This window comes from Homo sapiens, chromosome X, assembly GCF_000001405.40.
Source record: "Homo sapiens chromosome X, GRCh38.p14 Primary Assembly".
Lineage (NCBI taxonomy): Eukaryota > Metazoa > Chordata > Mammalia > Primates > Hominidae > Homo > Homo sapiens.
In genome coordinates, this window is record NC_000023.11 from 15662930 (window position 1) to 15683359 (window position 20430).

The 20430-nt window shown below is 41.4% G+C and overlaps 1 protein-coding gene, 1 long non-coding RNA gene and 1 pseudogene across 10 annotated transcripts in view, besides 3 other annotated features; 2 read left to right on the forward strand and 1 right to left on the reverse strand.

The window, feature by feature from the left end:
* Positions 1–12715, reverse strand: part of CLTRN (collectrin, amino acid transport regulator) — a 48327-nt gene extending 35612 nt beyond the window's left edge. For 2 of the 4 annotated variants that reach the window (XM_017029681.2, NM_020665.6), the window contains exons 1-2: positions 1789–1876; positions 1408–1466 (exon numbers count right to left, since the gene is read on the reverse strand). In XM_017029681.2, the coding sequence (XP_016885170.1) occupies positions 1408–1466; positions 1789–1846 (117 nt within the window). In that variant the 5' untranslated portion in view covers positions 1847–1876. Of the gene's footprint in view, positions 1–1407; positions 1467–1788; positions 1877–12059; positions 12457–12513 lie in introns of those variants that run through there. The other 2 variants (XM_017029680.2, XM_024452411.2) reach the window with 2 other exon arrangements.
* Positions 11458–11961: an enhancer, noted in NCBI's record as "nonconserved acetylation island sequence 104". NCBI's record gives its function as "activates a minimal heat-shock promoter by reporter assays in Jurkat T cells {active_cell/tissue: Jurkat}" and the evidence as "EXISTENCE:reporter gene assay evidence [ECO:0000049][PMID:17135569]".
* CA5BP1 (carbonic anhydrase 5B pseudogene 1) overlaps positions 11987–20430 on the forward strand; it is a 28806-nt pseudogene continuing 20362 nt past the window's right edge. The window contains exons 1-2 of one of the 4 annotated variants that reach the window (NR_026551.2): positions 11987–12027; positions 12761–12849. The product of NR_026551.2 is annotated as a carbonic anhydrase 5B pseudogene 1, transcript variant 1 (transcript). Of the gene's footprint in view, positions 12028–12528; positions 12850–20430 lie in introns of those variants that run through there. The other 3 variants (NR_160541.1, NR_160543.1, NR_160542.1) reach the window with 3 other exon arrangements.
* Positions 12194–12812: an enhancer, noted in NCBI's record as "NANOG-H3K27ac-H3K4me1 hESC enhancer chrX:15693246-15693864 (GRCh37/hg19 assembly coordinates)". NCBI's record gives its function as "activates a minimal SCP1, AML or CMV promoter by ChIP-STARR-seq in naive H9 embryonic stem cells {active_cell/tissue: H9 hESC(naive)}" and the evidence as "EXISTENCE:reporter gene assay evidence [ECO:0000049][PMID:30033119]".
* Positions 12485–12604: an enhancer, noted in NCBI's record as "active region_29448". NCBI's record gives its function as "activates an Ori minimal core promoter by ATAC-STARR-seq in GM12878 lymphoblastoid cells {active_cell/tissue: GM12878}" and the evidence as "EXISTENCE:reporter gene assay evidence [ECO:0000049][PMID:35858748]".
* Positions 12529–20430, forward strand: part of CA5BP1-CA5B (CA5BP1-CA5B readthrough) — a 112954-nt gene continuing 105052 nt past the window's right edge. For both annotated transcript variants that reach the window (NR_160544.1, NR_160545.1), the window contains exon 1: positions 12529–12849. This is a non-coding gene — a long non-coding RNA (CA5BP1-CA5B readthrough). The remainder of the gene's footprint in view (positions 12850–20430) is intronic.

Here is a 20430-nt window from a genome sequence, read left to right on the forward strand (position 1 = left end):
CCTCACTGCCCCAATTCCAGATATTTCTGCCCTCTTTCTAATCTTTACTCTCACCAAGATCCTTCCTGTGATAAGCCTTTGCACATGCTGTTCCCTCTGCCTTTCCTTCTTTCATTTCCTGTAACACTTCAACTCATGCTTCAGACATCACAGTAAGTGCCAGGTATTGTGGGCCTTGACAAAGCCGAAGTGCCCTTGTACTTCTTCCCGTAATACTTGTCAAGATTGCACATTTGCATTTGGTTTACTGAATATTTAATAGATGACCAATTCTACTACTACTATAAGCTCCACAAGGGTAAGGACAAGCCTTAATCACCATTACATCCCAGCATTCAGCATCGTACCTGCTATTAGAGGATACTGGGATGGCCAACCCTGCACACTAGTAGAGACAGTGTATTCTGCACTCAGACTGCCTGGGCTCAAATCTTACTTCTGCCACTTGCTGACTTGAAATATTGAGCATGTTACTTAATTTCTTTGAACCTCAGTTTTCTCATCCATTCAGTGGGAATACTAATACCTGTACTACTATCTTCCTCAAAGCATTGTTGTGAGGGCTAAATGATTTGATAGGAGTAAGGTGCTTAGAAGAGCCCCAGCTAGAAAGTAAGATAAGTTCTCAATAAATGCTGGCTGTTATAACAATCATTACTCATTGAGTCAATAATAAAATACCAAATTGATGAACTGGCCTGCAAACAGAATACCTCTAAGTTTCTTTAGCACTCTTTTTTCTGTTTCTATGCCTAAGGCATCTTAACGTCACCTTCTATTGGGGAAAAAATTTTGCAGACCACACTAGGAAACTGAAACTAGAATTAGACAATACTGTCTTTTTAATTCAATGATCTTTACCATTCCTATAGCCACATGGGCCCTATGACTATTTTTTAAACTTCTATTTCATAAGCATATATTTCATATGTTACTTTGATAATTGAGAATAATTGAAGAAACTTCAGGTTCAAATTGGAAATTTTTTGTGCTATGAAAGACTTTATGTGGGTAGAACTATCCCTTATTTTCAATGGTAGAAAATCGAGGCTAACAAAATTCAAATGACCACAACGGTGAGGAGTAGACCCAGTCCAGACCTGAACGACTGACTCAGGCCACTTGGCTTCACTATCCCGAGTTGAGATGCTGGTTTTTTAAGTTGTTTTGTGTGGCACAAAACTTCACATGTTGCCTAGCATACACTACTGATTAAATACTTTAGGCAAACCTACTTTATTAAAAATTCATATTATTCTATAATCTATCTTTAAGAAATCAGATTTGAGGTCTTTAGAAATAATTTATTCAAGATTAAGGTAACTATGCAGACAGGCCCATTATTAGAGAAAGCACAGTGTTATTAGCAAACAAAATTTAAAAAGAACACTCAGGTGCTCCACTTACTGCTTTATCTCCCAGAGCTGTTCTGATACTAAGTCTCACTTTAAAAGCATTTTCTGCACCTGCCAGAAAAGAAAAAAGAAAGAGCAGTATATGATGATTAGGATCTGCCAAAACAGAGTCTGAAAAATCCTAATATGTAATGCAACTCAAACTAATGGAACAAAGAACTACAATTAAACAGCCCCAAATACTCCTGGAAGTTTAACCTAAATCATCTTAGATGGTTTAATATTTTCTTTCAAACTCATTAAACACTCACTGCCCCAACTTTCAAGCCACAACATGTCTGCAGATTTAGAAAAATAAAGAGTTCTTTCAGTCGATGACTTGTCAAACATGTAGAAAACTGTTCATCTATTTTTAAATTTCAAGGCTACATACCTGGTTGACAGAGTTCAGCATGAATGGCAGTCACCAGAAAAAAGAGCAGCCACAACATTCTTTCAGGGTGGAAAACACAAGGCAAAGTGAGAAAAAAAAAATCCACGCTGCACTTAAATCTGCCTTAGCCATTCTGTGACCCGGATTAGAATATCAGAGAAACAAGCGAGCCACCACCAAAAAGGTTTAATGATTAACACCCATCATTTGGGTTAATACTTCCATAAAAACAGCCCATCTCCTGTCAGTTATTTATGAAAACCTGTTTGGAAAACAGATTAGTTGTTTTCCCTACTCTGACTCTACCTCAAAAGAATGTCTTCTTTGCTGACTCAAAGTTGGAATCCTCCCCGACCCCTTCTGCGATTCTCTGGTTACGTGTATGATGGGAAGAATTGAGTCCTGTCTAGAGGTTTCCTTGACATGCACTTCCCACCTTTTCGAGGCTGAGATACCTGGTTCTTAGATAGGCTATCTTCATTCAGGAAACAAACGTGACTCCCTTCTCTCTGGTAAACAAAGGGTGCCCTCCGTGAAGGGCCTCACCTGACTCTCACCACAGCGGGTGAACATCCCAGGAGAGCTTCGGAGCTTCCTCTTACCTACTTAAGGTTAGAGGGTGGGAGGAGAGAGAGGATCGAAAAACTACCTATCGAATACTATGCTTATTATCTGGGTGACAAAATAATCTGTACACCAAACTCCAGTGACACACAATTTACCTATACAACAAAACTGCACAGGTGCCTGCACATTCACACATAGGGAATGATTGTGTTCAGCCCTGAGGTCTGGCACTTGAATTAAATCAAAGTTAATGATACAGAGCAGCACTGTCCAAGGGACATTCTGTGGCGATGGGAATGTTCTGTGTCTGTACTATCCAATATGGCAGCTACTACAGGTAGGAGGCCATTGAGCACTGGAAATGGAGCTAGTGTAGCTGAGAAATGGAATTTTTGTTTAATTTAATTTAAGTAGGCACATGTGGCTACTGACTACATTGGTCAGTACAGCAATACAACAGTAATTAAAAGTTACCCACTCTGAAGTACCTTCACTGGGTTATTTCTCTGATCCTCAGACACTTCACAATTGTTATCATCATCTCATACGGGAGGGAACTGAGGCTCCAGCGTTGAAGTCATTGGCAGCAATGGGATGAGTGGGATGGGTGTCACTTTACCAGCTAGGTTGACTTACACTTGAACCCTGTCTCCACCACACCCAACTGCTCTGTGTCTCTGGTCACCATTGGTCAAAATTGGAATTGATCAAATACCACAGTCTCACTGATAAGTGGGAGCTAAACATTGAGTACACATGGACACAAAGAAGGGAACAACAGACACAGGTACCTACTTGAGGATAGTGGGTGGGAGGAGGGAGAGGATCGAAAAACTACCTATCGAATACTATGCTTATTATCTGGGTGACAAAATAATCTGTACACCAAACTCCAGTGACATACAATTTACTTATATAACAAACCTGCACATCCACCCCTAAACCTAAAATAAAAGTTTTAAAAAACCCTGAAGTTGCAACAAAGCCTCAGAGATGCTCTGAGAATTAAGATAATGCGTGTAAAAGAATCTTTCCCCGGTGGGCATTCCACAGATGCCAATCAACGCCCCGCCCAGAGGTTGATGTCAGGACTTTCCTCTCTACCATGCTGCCTCTTCATAAATTCAGTCCCCAAATTCCACCCCATTCCTCAAAAGTCATGAATGGCAGAATTAGATTGGGTGACTCTGGTGTTAAATAGAAACATTGGATTTTCAAAGCAACAACGAGGAAAATATCAACAATGAGACTTCTGCAGCACTTTGAGAAACACATCATTTCTCCCTCCTTGCGAGGGTGGTATTTTATTGTAAAGGACCCACATCCATCAGCTAAATCCAACTGAGAAAGCTTTTTCTCATCTCCTTCACCTTGGTTGCAAGGACACGGAGTCAGGAAAAGCTGTACTAAAAGGAGAGGGAGCCACAACTTAGTCCAGCCATCCTAGCAATGTCACTGTATTAGGTGCAGTGGAAATTTCCAGAAGGAAGAGCTCACCTAGCTAACATCTGAAAAAAATAAAGCCAGACTAGATGAAGTCATCTTGGGAAATGTTAAACTAGATAAAGTCATCATGGGAAGGAAAAGTCAATACACATAGAGATTGTAACAAAGCATTTTACTTACATCAAGGAAGAAAGCTATGCTAAGAACATAGAAATCTGCTTCAGCGGCTGGGCACAGTGCCTCACACCTGTAATCCCAGCACTTTCGGAGGCCGAGGCAGGTGGATCATGAGGTCAGGAGTTCAAGACCAGCCTGGCCAAGATGGTGAAACCCCATCTCTACTAAAAGTACAAATAATTAGCCGGGCGTGGTGGCAGGTGCCTGTAGTCCCAGCTACTCGGGAGGCTGAGGCAGGAGAATTGCTTGAACCCGGGAGGCGGAGCTTGCAGTGAGCCGAGATCGTGCCACTGCACTCCAGCCGGGGCAACAGAGCGAGACTCCATCTCAAAAATAAATAAATAAATAAATAAATAAATAAATAAGAAATCTGCTTCAGCTTTCCTTTAGCCTTACACTTCATAAAAGTATCAAGTGGCTTTCTTTGGCTTTTACTTAGTCATTGATGTAACTCGGGTTGAAGACAATAGAACACTGAGTCTTAGTGTAAGTCATTCATTTGAGAAGACAATCTCTTTTGAATGATGGTTTCTCAATGTTTGTTGTATCATCTTTTCAAAAAGAGCAATAGAAATTCTTTTTAGAAAATACAAAGCAGCACAAGGAGAAAAGTAAAAATCACCTGTAATTCCATCAGCGTCAACGAATGACCAATTGTCAATGTTTTCTAAATATTTGGAACATATCTTTCTGCCTTGTGCTTTCTTTTTTGTGTAAATACATGTACATTTCTTCTTAAAAACAAAACTGGGGTCATGCTATTATGCAGCTTTGTCATCTTTGTTGAACTTAACTGTGTTTTGTTGTTGTTTGTTGTTTTTTTTTAATAGAGACAGGATCTTGCTCTGATGCCCAGGCTGGAGTGCAGTGGCACCATCTTAGCTCAGTGCAGCCTCAACCTCCTGGGCTCAAGCAACCCTCCTGCCTCAGCTCCCAGAGTAGAAACACAGAATTCTTCTTCAGGTTCCTTTAGTCTTGCATTTCTTAAAAGTGACAAATTTCTTCATAAGCTTTTAGTCATCTATGTAACTAGAATTGAAGACAGTAAAATATTGAGTTTCAGTCAGTGTAAGCCATTCATCTGAAAAGGGAAGACAATCTCTTATTTCATTATGATTTCTCAATATTTGTGTTCTCATTTTTAAAATGATTGAAAAAAGCAATAGAAATTCTGTATAGACAATATAGAGAAGCAAAAAAAAGTAGAAAACATCCATAATACTACCAGAATGGATGACCAATGCTAATATATTTTCATAGTTAGAATGCGCCTTCCTTAGCCTTGGATCTCTTTATATGTTCTTGTAGGATGTTGTTTTTTCTCACTGCAGTGGCACTATCAGAACAGAGTAATACAATGATGGGAATAAGACGCACCCTTGTCTTCTTCTTTACTCTAATAGGAATGCCACTACTGCACGGAATCTGGCAAGTGGCTTTAAAAATGATGTGTCATGTGATACGAGCATTATATTTGTAATTACAAAAAATTATTTTCCTCAGTAATTGGTGTTGCATTTTATCAACTGCTTTTCACTATTAAAATTTTTACCATTTGGTGTATTACATTAATACATTTTTCACATTGATTCAATTCTTAGATAAAACATTTTTTTAATTTATTTTTAGTATGCTGCTGGAATCAATTCCTGGTTTTTCCCCTATGATTTTTAAACCTATTTTCTTAAAAGAATATCAGGTAGGTTCCTTTTCAAGTGCTGATTCTTGAAGCGTTTTTTTTCCTAGCCTTTACCATCTTGAAAATGATACAGAAAGATTTCTAACATTGTCTATGTTTAGAAATACATATAATGTACCAGAAATAAAGAGTTCACAGATGAAGAATCTGGACCATGTGCATTTTAGAGGAAGAGTTCTTCAAAATTTTTCATTCCTTACATTATCATTTATTTCAGGTTTTATACCTCTTTCTGAATCCATTTTGGCTGTTTACAATTTCCAAGAAAATATTCTGTTAAGATTTTCTAGTATCCTCATGGACTTTATAGAGTATTTCCCATAAAATATCTACTTTTGTTGTTATGTTCTCTTTATATTTTCTAATACGTGTATTAATTTTCTCATTTTGATTATATTATCTTTGTTGTTTAATCAAAGAAGAAGATCTTGGACATAATTTGCAATTCTTTCTGTTTTTTGATTCATAAATCTTATTTATATTGGTTACATACTGTAACAAATTCATTGTTAAATAGTTTGATGGAGATCTCAGTAAAATAAATGGAAAACAGAACTAGATACTAGGGTTCTTGCCTCTCAGCATATTATATTTTCCTATACTTTTCAAAGTCTTGCACAAATTTAGTGCTTGTCTTGATGTACAAGTTTTAAGTAGTAAGTTTCCAGAGCCTTCATATCTGTATAAATTGCTTCATAAAATGCTCATTTCAGCAATTTCACATATGGGAGCTTCATAACTTATTAGTAACCATGGTAATGATGACAAATAAAGCAGTTCAATCATTCTGAATATGTTACTATTTACTTCCAAACGTTCAGAGTTTAGAGCATGTAGATTTAAAAGTTCAGATTACTGTTGCCATGAGCCACACAAAAGGGCACTGAGTCTCCTGAGATGGGAAAACGAAATTGATTTCTCCGTGTTTTTTATACTCCACAACACTCTTGAAAAGCACTTTCTGGGCACATAACTATGGATCTACTGCTCTGGGGTAAACAGAATATGAGATCACATGAAAAGAAAACACATGTGTCGTTCTTTTGATTCATGCAAGATCCCTTAAGTTCACTAGATTCGTATAAATACGTGGGCGTATGTAGGCTCCATTCACCTCCAATAAAGCAAGAGGTGGAGATGACCAATGTTTCTTTTAAAATTGACCCTGGTTATTTTGTTTCATTATCAAAAACAGAAATTTAGTAAATATATAGCTCCTAAAATTAGTAAACTGTAAAACCATCTCAAATGTGACATTATTCTGTATATTTTTATTGGATTTTCAGAAATGTTATCTGGCTGTGACACATTAAAAGAAATCAATTAAAACTTTTAATAATTGAACATAGAAACTTTGTATAAGATTTTAAAACTTCACACTTTTTGCTGCTGGGCATGGTGGCTCATGCCTGTAATCCCAGCACTTTGGGAGGGCGAGGCAAGCAGATTGCTTGAGTCCAAGAGTTCAAGACAGGCCTGGACAACATGGCGAAACCCCCTCTCTACAAAAAGTACAAAAATTAGCCAGGCTTGGTGGCATGCACCTGTGGTCCCAGCAACTTGGAAGGCTGAGGCAGGAGGATCACCTGAGCCCAGGGAGGTTGAGGCTGCAGTGAGCCATGATTGTGCCACCACACTCCAGTCTGTGTGACAGAGCGAGACTCTGTCTCAAAAAATAAAAAAAACAAAAACCAAAAACAAAACACACACACACACACACACACACACACACACACACACACACAAACCCCTTTGGAAGTTTTAATATCTTAATTAAATGGCTCTACTCAATGATTTCCTAAATGTTGTAGAATTTTAATAAATGACATCCTTCCTTGTTTAAATTGTAATGAAATGGATATACTATATATAATAAACAATATCAAGATGTTTGTATTATTAATAATTTATACAATGTTTTCAGTATAATTAGGCAACAAAAATAATTTTATTCTCTTTAAATTGTCAGTGTTAAGATACATGGAGAGACAAAGTATTTTTGTCTATTGTGTGTAAGTTCTATTTTAACTCAGTGGTTTTCAATTGGGGGTGATTTTGTGCTCCAGAGACACTTGGCAACGTCTGGTGACATTTTTAGTCATCATGAATGGCAGATGAGAGGATTCTACTGGCATCTAGTGGGTAGAGGCCAGGGATGCTGCAAAACACCCCCACAAACTTTAAAAATGTCATTTAGGTAACTCTTTTCTTCTTGTAGTTGAGTTAATGGAAATAACCCACACAAGGAAGAACAGAAGAAAAAAGGGAGACAAGTGTGTGTGTGTGTGTGTGTGTGTGTGTGTGTGTGTGTGTGTGTGTGTGTGTGTGTGTGGTTTCTCTAAGGCTAAGAATGTAAAAATATATACATTGCAATGCATTTCATGGTACTTAATTTCCAGTCACAAGCTTATTAGAACTTCAGTTTATGATTCAAATTAGTCAACTCAGTTTTCTTAAACTATCATATTCATGGGCTACGAGAAATGCAAAAATGAACCAAATATAGTCTCTGCCCTTCAGGAACTTACAATTTTGTAGGACACAAAAGTAAATCACGATGGCAATAGATGCACATACAATTGTGAACAAAATGCTATAGGAACACTGGAGAAAAAGAGGATAAAAAGTTACTGGATTTGACAAGTCAATTATAAAACTGTTAACAAAAGAAAAATAGAAGAAAGGTTTCTCAATGATAATCAAGATAGACCTGGAACAATGGCAAGATGTTTAAAGATAAAACATGAAAGCCCACAGGATACAAGTTAAGGAAATCTGAAAACAAACACAAAGGACAGATACAGGATATGGCCAACAGCAGGGACTTGCTGGTAGAGTGGTTCAGAGGAAGATGGGGGAGAGAGCATCAGTGTAGATGCATCTGAAAAGCCAAGTTGGGTTCTGATCTTAGAGGTCAGAGAGTCTGGATTCTCCAACAATGGTCCTGAGAGGCTAATGAAGATTTCAATGTGGGAATGGGTTCATTGTAAATGACACAGAGAAGGACAATGGGAGATGGGAAGGACATTCCCTGACAGTGAGTTTCCAATGTGCCCTTTATTTACTAATCACAGGCTGTTGGACTGGCAGCCCACTACGTGCCCATGACTACAAAAAACAGGAAATTATTTTTCATTGGCCATCTTAATAAAAAGATAAATGAGCTTATTTTAATAATAATTTTAGAATATAGAACAGATGATGTTACAATCTTTTGGTATGCTTAATTTTATGCGCGCACACACACACACACACACACACACACACACACACACACAATTTCCAGTATCCTTGGTAAGCAAGAAACTCTATAATGTGGAATATTTTTGTCTCCATCACATATATCCCCTTTTTAAGATGAGAAATCATATTAAGCAAGGATATTTGAAAAGCTCATCAAATTTTGTAGGTTAATCAGTAGCCATAATCATTATGAACTTTGTCTTATTCTTCACAAGTTAACATTTTTCTACTTCAGAGAAAGTTAATCACTACCGTTTGGAAATAAAAATTAATTCAGATCAACTGAGTGAGTGTAATTCTGCCAACTTTATGCTCCTAAAGTAGCAATTTAAAGGACAGTTTCTTAAATGGGAAAAAAAAAGTATGTGTGTCTGTGTGTTTCATCTTGTGCATGGAGACCAATGCTTTATAATGGGTCTCATGTAGTTAAAGCAAGACATTTCTTTTACAGGTTTAGCTGGTTCCACTGTTGCTCAGGTGTAAGAGTTTTCTCATGATTTGGCAAGTCAATTTTCTCTTTTTACTAGGCTAACAGTATTGCAGCCATGGTCTATGAAATAGTATTTTCCATCCTTAATCATCAATTTGCCCACCAGTTGGAGGTCACCTAGTCACATTTAGCCCTGACAACAGGTACTTCTTTTGCCAACCTCTATAAAGGGTGTGGGGGCGGGGGCGGGATCAGACCACATAACTTTTAGGTTATATGCTCTCATTAATATTAAAGACATATGAATTAATCAATATCTCAGAATTTCTGATCCTACGTTTCGGCCAGTGATGACCCTGAACCCTCTACTGTCTGAAATTCATCAAAAGTCTTATGAGAAATGTTTTTGTGGACTGCCTAAAAGATGTGCACAAGAGATCCCTATTACTACAAATCAGAGATGACAGGTTGTTTGCAGCCATTTGCTCATCCCACACCCATGACAAACATTTTTTATCTATTTCAGAACTTTTTCCTTCTGTGCATGGACTCAGCCACCCCAACTGAGCTATTCAGTCCACTAATATGAATAAATGGGAGTTGACATGTGAGTTGAAACTTATGTGCCATTATGGGGAAAGATTATCTAAATGCTACCCTGAATTAAACCAGACCATTGTGGGGCTGTGTACTCAGTCGAACAGGAAATTTTGGATGGTTCATGAAATTGATTCAGTGCCCTGTGCTTTGTGATTATGCCAACAGTTTCCATTGAGGGAATGTGGGTGTAACAACTTATGACACTTATTTCCCACGTAGCTCACAGCGTCATCATGATGAGGAACTGGGATTTGCCTTGGGGCTAAAAATTATTTTTAAAAAAACAAACAGTGCTTCTCAAAAGCAAACAAAATCCTGATTGATTGGTTTTTATGAACACCGTAAAACTTTAAAATACTTGTTATCTCCTGTTTTCTATGGAAGCTTAGAGTGAGATCTCTTGCCCACCTTCAAAAACTGTTCTGGATCTGAAAGTGTGCATACTTGAGTGTTAATCTTACCATTGGCTACATTATTTATTCTCCCTCCATGAATTTCCCCTCTGGTTCCTTAAACTATAATACTTACTTTATACAGTGTTGCCTATATTTTGGTACGCGGCCTCAAATCATCTGGGAGAAAATAATGCTATAAAAATCAATGCAGTAATTTACACAGGCTGCACTTGATCCCATTTCCGGTGTGTTTAATTTTTCATGCAAAAAATGATTAGCATTGGCAACATTTTATATAAATGAGATAGAGTTCTCAGAGCCAGGGTGAGCTTAATAAAAAATGTTTTGTTGAAAATTGTCTTTTACTCTGTGCTCCTTGTAGCTCAATATTGTGAAAGTTCCCACTGTCTTCAAAGCAGAAATGGATGGAAGGTGGGAAGAGAAAGGAACTTTTACACTTTATATGTGATCATAAAATCTTGATTACTGGCATATGTAGAAGTGTATATAGTAAATCTCACTGCCATGGAGGGAAAAATTGTAATCCTCTATACAAGTGAAAAGGGAATACTTTAAATGAAGATTGAGAATTTATTGTGAAGGGAGCTGTACTAACTGCTATGTAAGTGGCTTCCTATGTTTGCTGCCCCAAAATACTCCTGCTAATTAGAACAACAAACCAGCACTTATCAAGTCCTTTTCCACCTATCAACTCCTTTATTACACCATCTTTAATTTTCTCAATTCTTGTGCCATCTAAACTTGAGTTGGGGAAGCTCAGTCTGTGATCTCTTTGACTCTTGTCTTATTTCTTACTGGAACATAGTACTTGATAAATCTGTCTTGAATGAATGAATGAATGAATGGCTAATGGAAAGTGTCCATCCTCTAAGAATGTCCGTTCAGAAATTTCTGGACAGAAAAGCTGGTAATAACCTCCTCACTTTTTTCCTGTGAACCCAGAATTGCGAATGGAGGGAGTAAAAAAGCGTAATCTTGGAGCAGGGGGCTGCAAACAGAGGTCTGAATGTGGTGGTGTCTAGACAGGACCTAGAGAGCATTAGGGCACCAAGTGCCTAGGAAAAGTCATCAGGAGGACACATCAGGAAGTAGAGGAGTGTGCTTACTCCATGTATCTCCCTAGCATTTAAAGTCCGCTGACTTTAAATGGGCTGGAAGGAACACGGTTCCAGTTTATCTCCATATCGGGTTAAAGGACATGAAACCTAGCTAGAAGGAACATTGCTCCACCACTGGCCCATCAGTTCTGTTTCCTACTCGGTTTTTGCTTAACGAGTTGTGGTGTTTAGAGTTGGGAGATACATGGAGAAAGTCACTTTTTAGGAGAGGATCAGAGATCCGCAGGCTCATTTCACTCTATAAATGCCGCGGACATCTGGTTCCAGGACCTGGACAGTCCTCTCTGGAGACTGGTGGGCCCCTCCAACACCTCCGTGGCTTCCCGGGATCAAGTATCGCACCTAAAAGGAGCGCAGAGAGCGTGCAACTGGCGGGAGAGGCGTGACCAGAGTGGAACCAAAAGTGGGTGGCCTGGGAACCTAACGCGTGACCAGAAGTGAAGGTAGGTAAGTGCGCATGCGCAGGATGCGAGTGGCCAATGAGGACCACAAGGTTGTAGCGTGTGGCCTGAGAGGACGGCCAGGACTGGCCAGAAAAGAGAGGTGTGGAATGCAGTAAGAAAAGTGACGCGGACCAGAGGGGTCTTGCCTGTTCCGAGAGAATGGAAGGGGTTAGCCACGGTGGGAACGGCCACGGCGGGAACGGCCCCGCCAGTGAGGAGCGCAGGCAGCAAGGCTTAGCGGAAGAGGCGTGACCCAGGCGTACCGCAGGGGCGTGGCCCGAACGAGCTGACTTTAGCCCTTACGTGAAAGGCGTGGCGTAGTCGCAAGGGTGTAAAAAAGAAATTCGAATTCGCGGGACGGTCGGCCTCAGGCGGAGTAGGGACGTGAGCCCAAGGGAGGGAGGTGGGGTAGGCAGACTAGTTGTGACTGGATGATCACTGGGCGAAGGGTGGAAAAGTGGCCACAGATGGAAAGGCGGGCTGCGGAGTAGTGACCGGCAAGGGAGGTGGCGCGAAAAGGGAAGTAGGGACATGACGTAGTTGGAACGCAGAGACGTGCCTCGAACGTGGGGGGCGCGGTCCTTACGTGTGGGCGTGCCTTGTTGCTCTGAGGGGCGTAACAAAGATGGTGGAGCAGGCGGAGGGCAGAGGCGTCGGCAAGTTAGCGTGCAGGCGCGTGGCAGCGACAGGAGATGTGTAGCCAGAGCGCAGAGCAGGTGTGGACTCCGGCGCTGGGGAAGCGTGGCCAGGGCGAGATTTCAGCCTGGGTCGGGGACAGAATGGGGACTGATAGGGGCGTAACCTGGAATGACGAAATGACGTTTGCTGCGTAGGGACGTGGCTAAACGTGAGGGGGCGTGGCCAAGATGGCCGCGTGCGGGATCCTCGGGTACCGGGAGCGAACGAGGAGGTTCTGGCTCAGGTAAGTCGTTCGGGTAAGGGCGGGCGGCAGTAAGGAGCGTGGGCAGCAGCAGGGCGTGGTCTGCTTGAGAGGGCAGGAACTGTGCCACTTGCCGCAAACATGACCGCGTGCCGCTATCGGCCCTGGAGCCAGAGAAGCTTTTGGTGCGGCGAGGTTGGCCGGGGCCCTGGCGGGGCTTCTCTGAGGAATGGGAGTGGGAGGCTGGCGGCGGGGAAATAGCCACTTCCCCACTCTAGCCCTCTTTCTCCGCTATGGGGATCACCAGACATCCTTTTAGGATTCTGTCTATTAAAAAGTAGAACAGCTTTCCCAGAGACATTGCGGGATGAGAGGAGTGTCCAGAAACCAAGGAGCAGCAAGCTGGGACTCCCTCGGGTCTGCATTGTTGATATTCCCACCTGACTATGCTAGGGGCTATGGACAGACACAGCCACCCCAGAGTAGATCAAAAGCACAGTTGTGTCCCTTGGACAAATCTGAGTTTTTCTGTTGTGCCTTGCCCCAGAGCCGGAGGAGAGGAACCTCCAAAATGCAGACATTCTTGGTGGCTGGGATTCTGTGTGATATTCAGCGTTAAATGCTGCTGCTCTGAGGCTGCTGGAAACGCGTTAGTATTAATATCTGTGTACTTCTCTCACATTTACTTTTGCTGGAAAAGCTTGGGAAATGACTTAACGAAGATGCGTAAACCTTAATTTGTTTATATGCTCCTTATTAGCCACTGAATACCACATTGCTTTCTGCTTCCCCTTCTTCTTTACTGATAATCTGACCATTTCCACTATGCACTTTGAAAGTCTTGCTGGAGTATGGAGAATAGTCAGAAATCTCTGGTAAGATGCTGCCCCGCGCATCTCTCAGAGGAGTCACTATTCATAGCCTGCATCAGAGTTCACAATGAACCAAAGTTCACCCCACCTCCCCTGTCTTCAGGGACTTAGTGAAAAGCTGCACTGTTCTTGAATATTTTGGAAATGAAAAACTTTCTGGGCTATTTTAAATCAGTACCTGGGCTGGAATTAACCGAAAGGCGAAACAGCAAGGGCACCATTCTCTGTGCCTATACGTAGCTGCCCTGTGCTTGGAACCAAGCAAAAAGGCTGCCACTGCTCACAGTTGCAATGGAATAAAGGTTGAGTGCCTTGTGATTGCATATGAATATTAAGGAAATCTGATGGAAAGAGGGAAATTCATCATGTCACTGGCCACACTGGGGCAGTTAGTTGCAACACACAAATCAGGTATAATATATTTTGAAACCTTTGGCAACCTCAGATTGGGATCACACTCTCAAGGAAGAAGTGAGTGAGAGGAGGAAGCTAAGCTTTCTTAAGACATAGCAGCGTAATCTCTAATTTAAGTTTCAGGAAATTGCAAAAGGCAGGCTTCCTTTTGAAATCAGGAGTTGAGAAAATGAAGAGTCAATCTGATGCCAATCAAGGAATTTTTCAATATAATTGTAACCTTTTGTTAGTACTTTTCCTGTCTCTTTCGCATAAGTTGCTTAATCAGGCAGAGTTCAAGCTATGAGGCATTTAATAAATACATTACTTATGAATGACATTTAAAGACTTTTAGAATCTTTTCTTTTTTCACACATTTCTAAGGCTGCAAAACAACAGAAAAAGAACATGTTAGTAATATCCAAGGCATACATGAATAATCAGTGACAGCAAAGGATGTGTAGCACAGAAGGCTTAGCTCTCCTAGGCGGTATCCAGCCACACACTGGTAATTGTTGAAATGGAGTATTGGATATATAGATGATTTATTCTCACCATTTTTTTGTACAAGTTTGAAGTTTGCCCTAATAAGGGGAAAACAGATTCTAAATTCAGTTGACCCATGGACTATTGCTGTTTAAACCTGCTAAGTGAATTCAGATAGTGAAGTTATTTAAAAACCAGATGCTCTTACCTGGCTGCAGGAACTATCAAGATAAGATATTGAAAGCTTATTGGCAGTCTGTCTTTTAAATCCTGAGCCAGACTTTTTTACATGGCTTCAACAAGGTGATTTTTCATCTCCTTAGACATTTTGACATACACACTCCCACTAAAAACTGTATTTACACAAACACAGATAAAACTAAACAAAAGTGATTTTAACTTTGGTTTGAGAATTGTCAGCACCTTTTAGGCAACGCAGACATACTTTAGGTGTCACTGGCTGTTACGAGTTCAATTGCACCCTCCCATCTCAAACTCATATACGTTTAAGTCTTAAGCCCCAGTACCTCAGAATGTGACCTCATATGGAGATTGGGTCTGTATAAAGGTAATTATGGTCATTAGGGTGACCACTAGTCCAATATAACTGGTGTCCTTAATTAAAAGGGAAATTTGGACACAGACAAGATGAGAATGGCTTACGAAAATTGGATTTAATGCTGACACAAGCCAAGGAATTACCAGAAGCAAGGTTTATTAGGTGTTCTCCAGAGAAACAAAACCAATTGTGTGTGTGTATGTGTATATATGTGTGTGTGTATGTATGTATGTGTGGGTGTGCCTGTGTGTGTGCTTGTGCGTGTGTGTGTGTGTGTGTGTTTAGAGAGAGATTTATTTTTAAAAATTGGCTCGTGAATGTAGGCTCGTGAAATTTGCAGTGCAGGCCAGCAGACTGGAGACCAGGGAAGAATTGATATTACAGCCTGTCTTACTCAGTTTTGTGCTGTAACAGAATACCTGACACTGGATAATTTATAATGAACAGAAATTTATGTGGCTCATGATTCTGGAGGCTGGGAAGTCCAAGGGCATGGTGCCAGCATCTGCTCAGCATCTAGTGAGGGCTCTCTCTTGCATCATCCCATAGCACAAGGCAGAAGGGCAAGAACATGTGCATGTGAGGGGTGGGAGTGGTTGGGGGTGAAGAAGGAGGGAGGGAGGGAAGGGAAAGAAGCCAAATTTATCCTTATATCAGGAACCCACTACCTCAGAAACTAACCAGCTCCCCCTAATAATGGCATTAATCCATTCATGAGGGGAGGGCCCTCATGATTTAATCACCTCCCAACACTTTTGCGTTGCAGATTAAGTTTCCAAAACGTGAACTTTGGGGACACATTCAGACTGGATTGTGAGCACAAACTGGTGCCATGGCACAGCTCCAGTCCAAAGGCAGTCTGGAGGTAGAATTTCCTCTTCCTCAGGGGACCTGTCTTTTTCAACTTAAGGCTTTCGACGGATTGGGTAGGGCCCACCCACATGAAGGGTAATAATCTTTATTCCAAGTCTACTGATTTAAATGTTAATCTTATCTAAAAAATACATTCACAGTGACATTTAAACTGGTATTTGACCAAACATCTGGGTACCATGACCTACCCAAGTTGGCACATAAAATTAACCATCCAAGTAGAAAGGCCTGGAACAGAGCGCTCATTGCCCTCAGAAGGAACCAACCCTGCAGAGAACTTGGACCTCAGATTTCTAACCTCCAGAACCATGAGACAACAAAAATTTTTAAGCCAACCAGTCTATGGTACTTTCTTACGAGCTAATACATTGGCCTAAAGACCTCCGGTAGGGAGTCAAGCCTAGAGGTAAGGAACCTCCACAGGATTCACTAACTTCCTACCAGTCCCCTTTAATGTAATGGCTGCACATCTCTGGCTCCCTGAGTTCAGCGCACATTAGCAAAGTGATGCATATGCAAAGCAAAGCGCATGGCACTGTGCCAAAAGACTGGCTTCTCATCCTGCTGTGCTTTATTTCACAATGCACATAGAGATGATTCTCGCTCCTTTCACGTAGGTGTAGTCTTCTCTCTAGCTTAGATGGAGCAGGATCAAGGACAGCAGTACAGAGGAGAAGAGCTAGTTCACAGCCAATTACTAGCATGAATGTGCACAAAGAGAGGGGAGGATGAAAGCACGTTTGCCTCCTTTCTCAGCATCACTGAGGACCATGATGTGGGTTTTATATCTTACATTCTTCTTGGAAAGATGGTGTAAAGAAATAAAGTTCAGATTTGTAAGGGAAATGTGTCTTTAGTGCCCCTCAACTTCTACATTTGTGCCTTTTGCCACCCATTCCCACCTACCCCAACCCCCACCACTACCCCACCATGGCCATACTGCTGAGAGCCCCTCTTTTGGCAAGAGAAGGCAGAATCTGAGGTGGCAAAAAACACCCTGCTGCAAACTGGTTTGCTCTGTGTTTCTCTTACCCATACTATGTGCATTTCAGGAGGCTCCTAAGGGAGAAATTACATACCTGGAAGGTACAGTTCAAGTCTTGGTCATCTTTGCATCATAGCACCCACCACTGTGCTTGGAGCAAAAGAAATGACAATACATTTTGAAATGAAAGTGCTAACTGGCAGAATCCCAGCCCTGTGAGACTAGATGAGGTTCATACTCAGGGAGGGTCCTCTTTTTAGATCAGGCAGGATTTGGGGGGTCCTTTGGATCTTTTAGATAGGGGTATGAGACCCTCCTCTCAAAGGAGAAATATTTAAAAGTGTTTTAAAAGTATAGACATCCCTACAAATGGGTGATGACGTTTGAGAAAAGGAAAGACCCCTAGTACTGTCTCAGAGCATGCTGGCAGTCATGGCACAGTTCTTAGTTCTTGAAATGCGGACCAACATCTTTGTCACCAAGGGAGCCTACTCGGGTCAGTTGGCTAGTACTCCCAGCACCCATTTTGAATGAGGCACTGTGTCCCTAAGAGATGCAGCTCTGACCAAGGCAGACACGGTCCCTACCACCATGGGGCTTAGATACTGGAGAGGATGCAGTCATAAAGTACATTCCTGGTGAGGTATTAATTCGACTGTGATAAGCACTGTGACCACAAAGCAGTTCTGGGCTGACCTGGTGAGCTTGTGGTCGGGGGAGCTTAGAGGAAGTGACGCTGGTGTCAGTCACCTGAAGTGGGGGTAGGGATTCACCAGTCACAGATGGAGGGAGAGTCCAGGAAAGGAAGGGCATCTGCACAGGCCAGAGGGAAAGGCAGGAGTTGGAAGAACTAAAGTCCATGTGGCTGGTGGGCGGGCAGAAGCGCAAAGTGAATGTGAGTGAAAGCAAGTGGGTCTGTCATCTTGGGGTGACCAATGAGTTTGAGGAACAAGAGTGGATAATTGACTCCCATTTGCCCTCCCCTTCACCTCAGGGTGCGTATTACGAGTCTGAATATTGTCCTACTTAGAGGTTTTCTCATGATCTTAAGTCTCTATTGTTTACAGCTTTCACTTCTCTGCCCTCTTCCCTCTAGGTTATTGGGTTCCTGCAAGTTATCTGGGAACTGATCAAAGTTTCAGGGTAAGATGGTGGTGATGAACACCCTGAGGGTCACTCGTCCTGTGTCCCCATGCAAATTGCTGTGGAGAAGCTTCCAGATTCCAAGGCCCAGGCCATTCTGCAGCCTCTGTACTTGTACTTACAAAATCCAGAAATAAGCCTGAGAGTACACCATTTCATTAAAGAGAGGAGAAAAGGCTTGTTGGTTTTATAAAAATCACGCGTGTTAAGCGTTTGTAGCTGTGATGTCATGGGCATTCCAGTGTGAGATTATATGCCTTATGGACTGTGAGAATAACTGTTTCTCTATTTGTCCAGTAAAATAAATGTGGAACATTCTTTCTTGACAAATGTTAAAATGTTAAAATGATGTCATGCAGAAACTGGAGAAGGTTTCAGATATTCTGGAACCTGTTCTTTATTATTTCTGGTTAGCAGTTGTCTTTTTACTAAGGTTGATCCACAAACTGCAGATTATTTCTGTGAATCTTAAATTGCTGGAAGCTGCACATGAATGTTTGCAAGCAGTTCAGTGGCTTCATGCTTCAGAATATTCTGTCCAGAGTTAAGAATTGCAGAATTAATTCTAGCTGACTGATTTGCAAGTGTGTACTCTGCTGTAAACACAGAAGATCATGTGACACAGCAAATGTTCTTCCTCAAGCCTTTCTCATCTCGTTCCCCTCCTGGAAATACAAGGTACTATCTGCAGCTGGATGTTGCAGGGATTCTCCACTGTGGCACGATGGACATTGGGGATGGATCATTCTGTGGCGTGGGGGCTGCCCTTTGCTCACTGGATGTTGAGTGGCATCTCTGATCTCTTGCCAGTAGCACTCCCCAAATGATCACATTCAGATACGTTTCAAGACATTGCTAAATGTCCTCTGGGAGGGAGGGCAAAATAACCCTGGGAGAGAACCGCTGAGATGATAGGAGAGATGTCTGTGATGGTGGAGAGTTGTGTTTAATGAATTGGCTAAATATATCTTTTGGGTTTTTTTAATATATTTTCCACTATTCACAATGAATTTACATAGTTTTCAAATACTGGCTTGTTTCAGGATTTGAGGTTTCTCAGATTGTGCTCTTCGGGTTTACCCTTTTTGAACCTCCACGCACATAAGAAAAGGAATTCCGTTAATAATGTTGATTTAGCTGGATCCATTGCCTTGAAAGTGCTTCAGAAGAATTTTTTATTACAAGTTTATTTTGTTTTATCCCAACATTGACTATGTTCTCATTGAAATGAGTTGGTCGGGGTCATAACAAATTTATGATTGCTGGGTGTGCCCATATCCTACCCAGACTGGCTTATTCCGAACCCTGGGACTGCATTCTAAGGCTTAACGTGGAAAAAATTTAGTCATATTTATCTAGTTACTAACGTTTTGTGTGAGTGTGGGGTTTTTGCCTTGATATTTAGTTTGTCTTTATTTGCAGAAAGTTGAAAGTTAAATGCCTAAAGTCCAATCAGTCTATGCCATTAGGATAACTTGCTGCTTTTAGTGCCAACAGAAACCAAATAGTGGTCCCCCGAGGAGATGGGGTTCACTTGACTAATAGCTATATTATATGATGTGTTCTTGTTTCTAAGTTACTAGAAAAACACAGGTGGAAGTCAACATTTGATTTTGTTTGTGGTATGTTTCACTGTTCCAACCTGTTTTCCCCAAGGAGAATATTGTGGTCTTTCTTGCCCTGGGCCTTTGAGCAGGTCCTATTCCTATATTCTGGACCCTCATCTGCTCAATTGTAAACACAGTTCTCATTGTTTCTGACAGCTCAGTACCCCAGCAGAAGGCTAGTGTACGCTTGTAACCAAGAATAACCCCAGATTCTTGAGGGTTAGAAGCTCAGTTATGAGGCCGGGCACGGTGGCTCATCCCAGCACTTTTGGGAGACCGAGGAAGGCGGATCACCTGAGGTCAGGAGTTCAAGACCAGCCTGACCAACATAGTGAAACCTCGTCTCTACTAAAAATACAAAAATTAGCCAGGCGTCGTGGTGCATGCCTGTAGTCTCAGCTACTCAGGAGGCTGAGGCAGGAGAATCACTTGAACCTGGGAGGCGGAGGTTGCAGTGAACCAGGATCTGTACTCTGTCTCAAACAAAAAAAAAAAAAAAGAAAGTTGTGGCAGCTACTTCTAGTACTTTGTTATCATCATCGTAGGCTCAGTGCCTGCCTCAGATGTTTAAGTCTGAACATTTTAAGAGGAGGCAAAGCAGAATAAGGAGTGAATGAAAGTAGGAGGTTGTGGCAAATTCGGTAAGCAGCATTTCAGGTCAGCCCAGTGCTCTGTGCTCATCATATCTTTGCTCCCAAGGCTCTC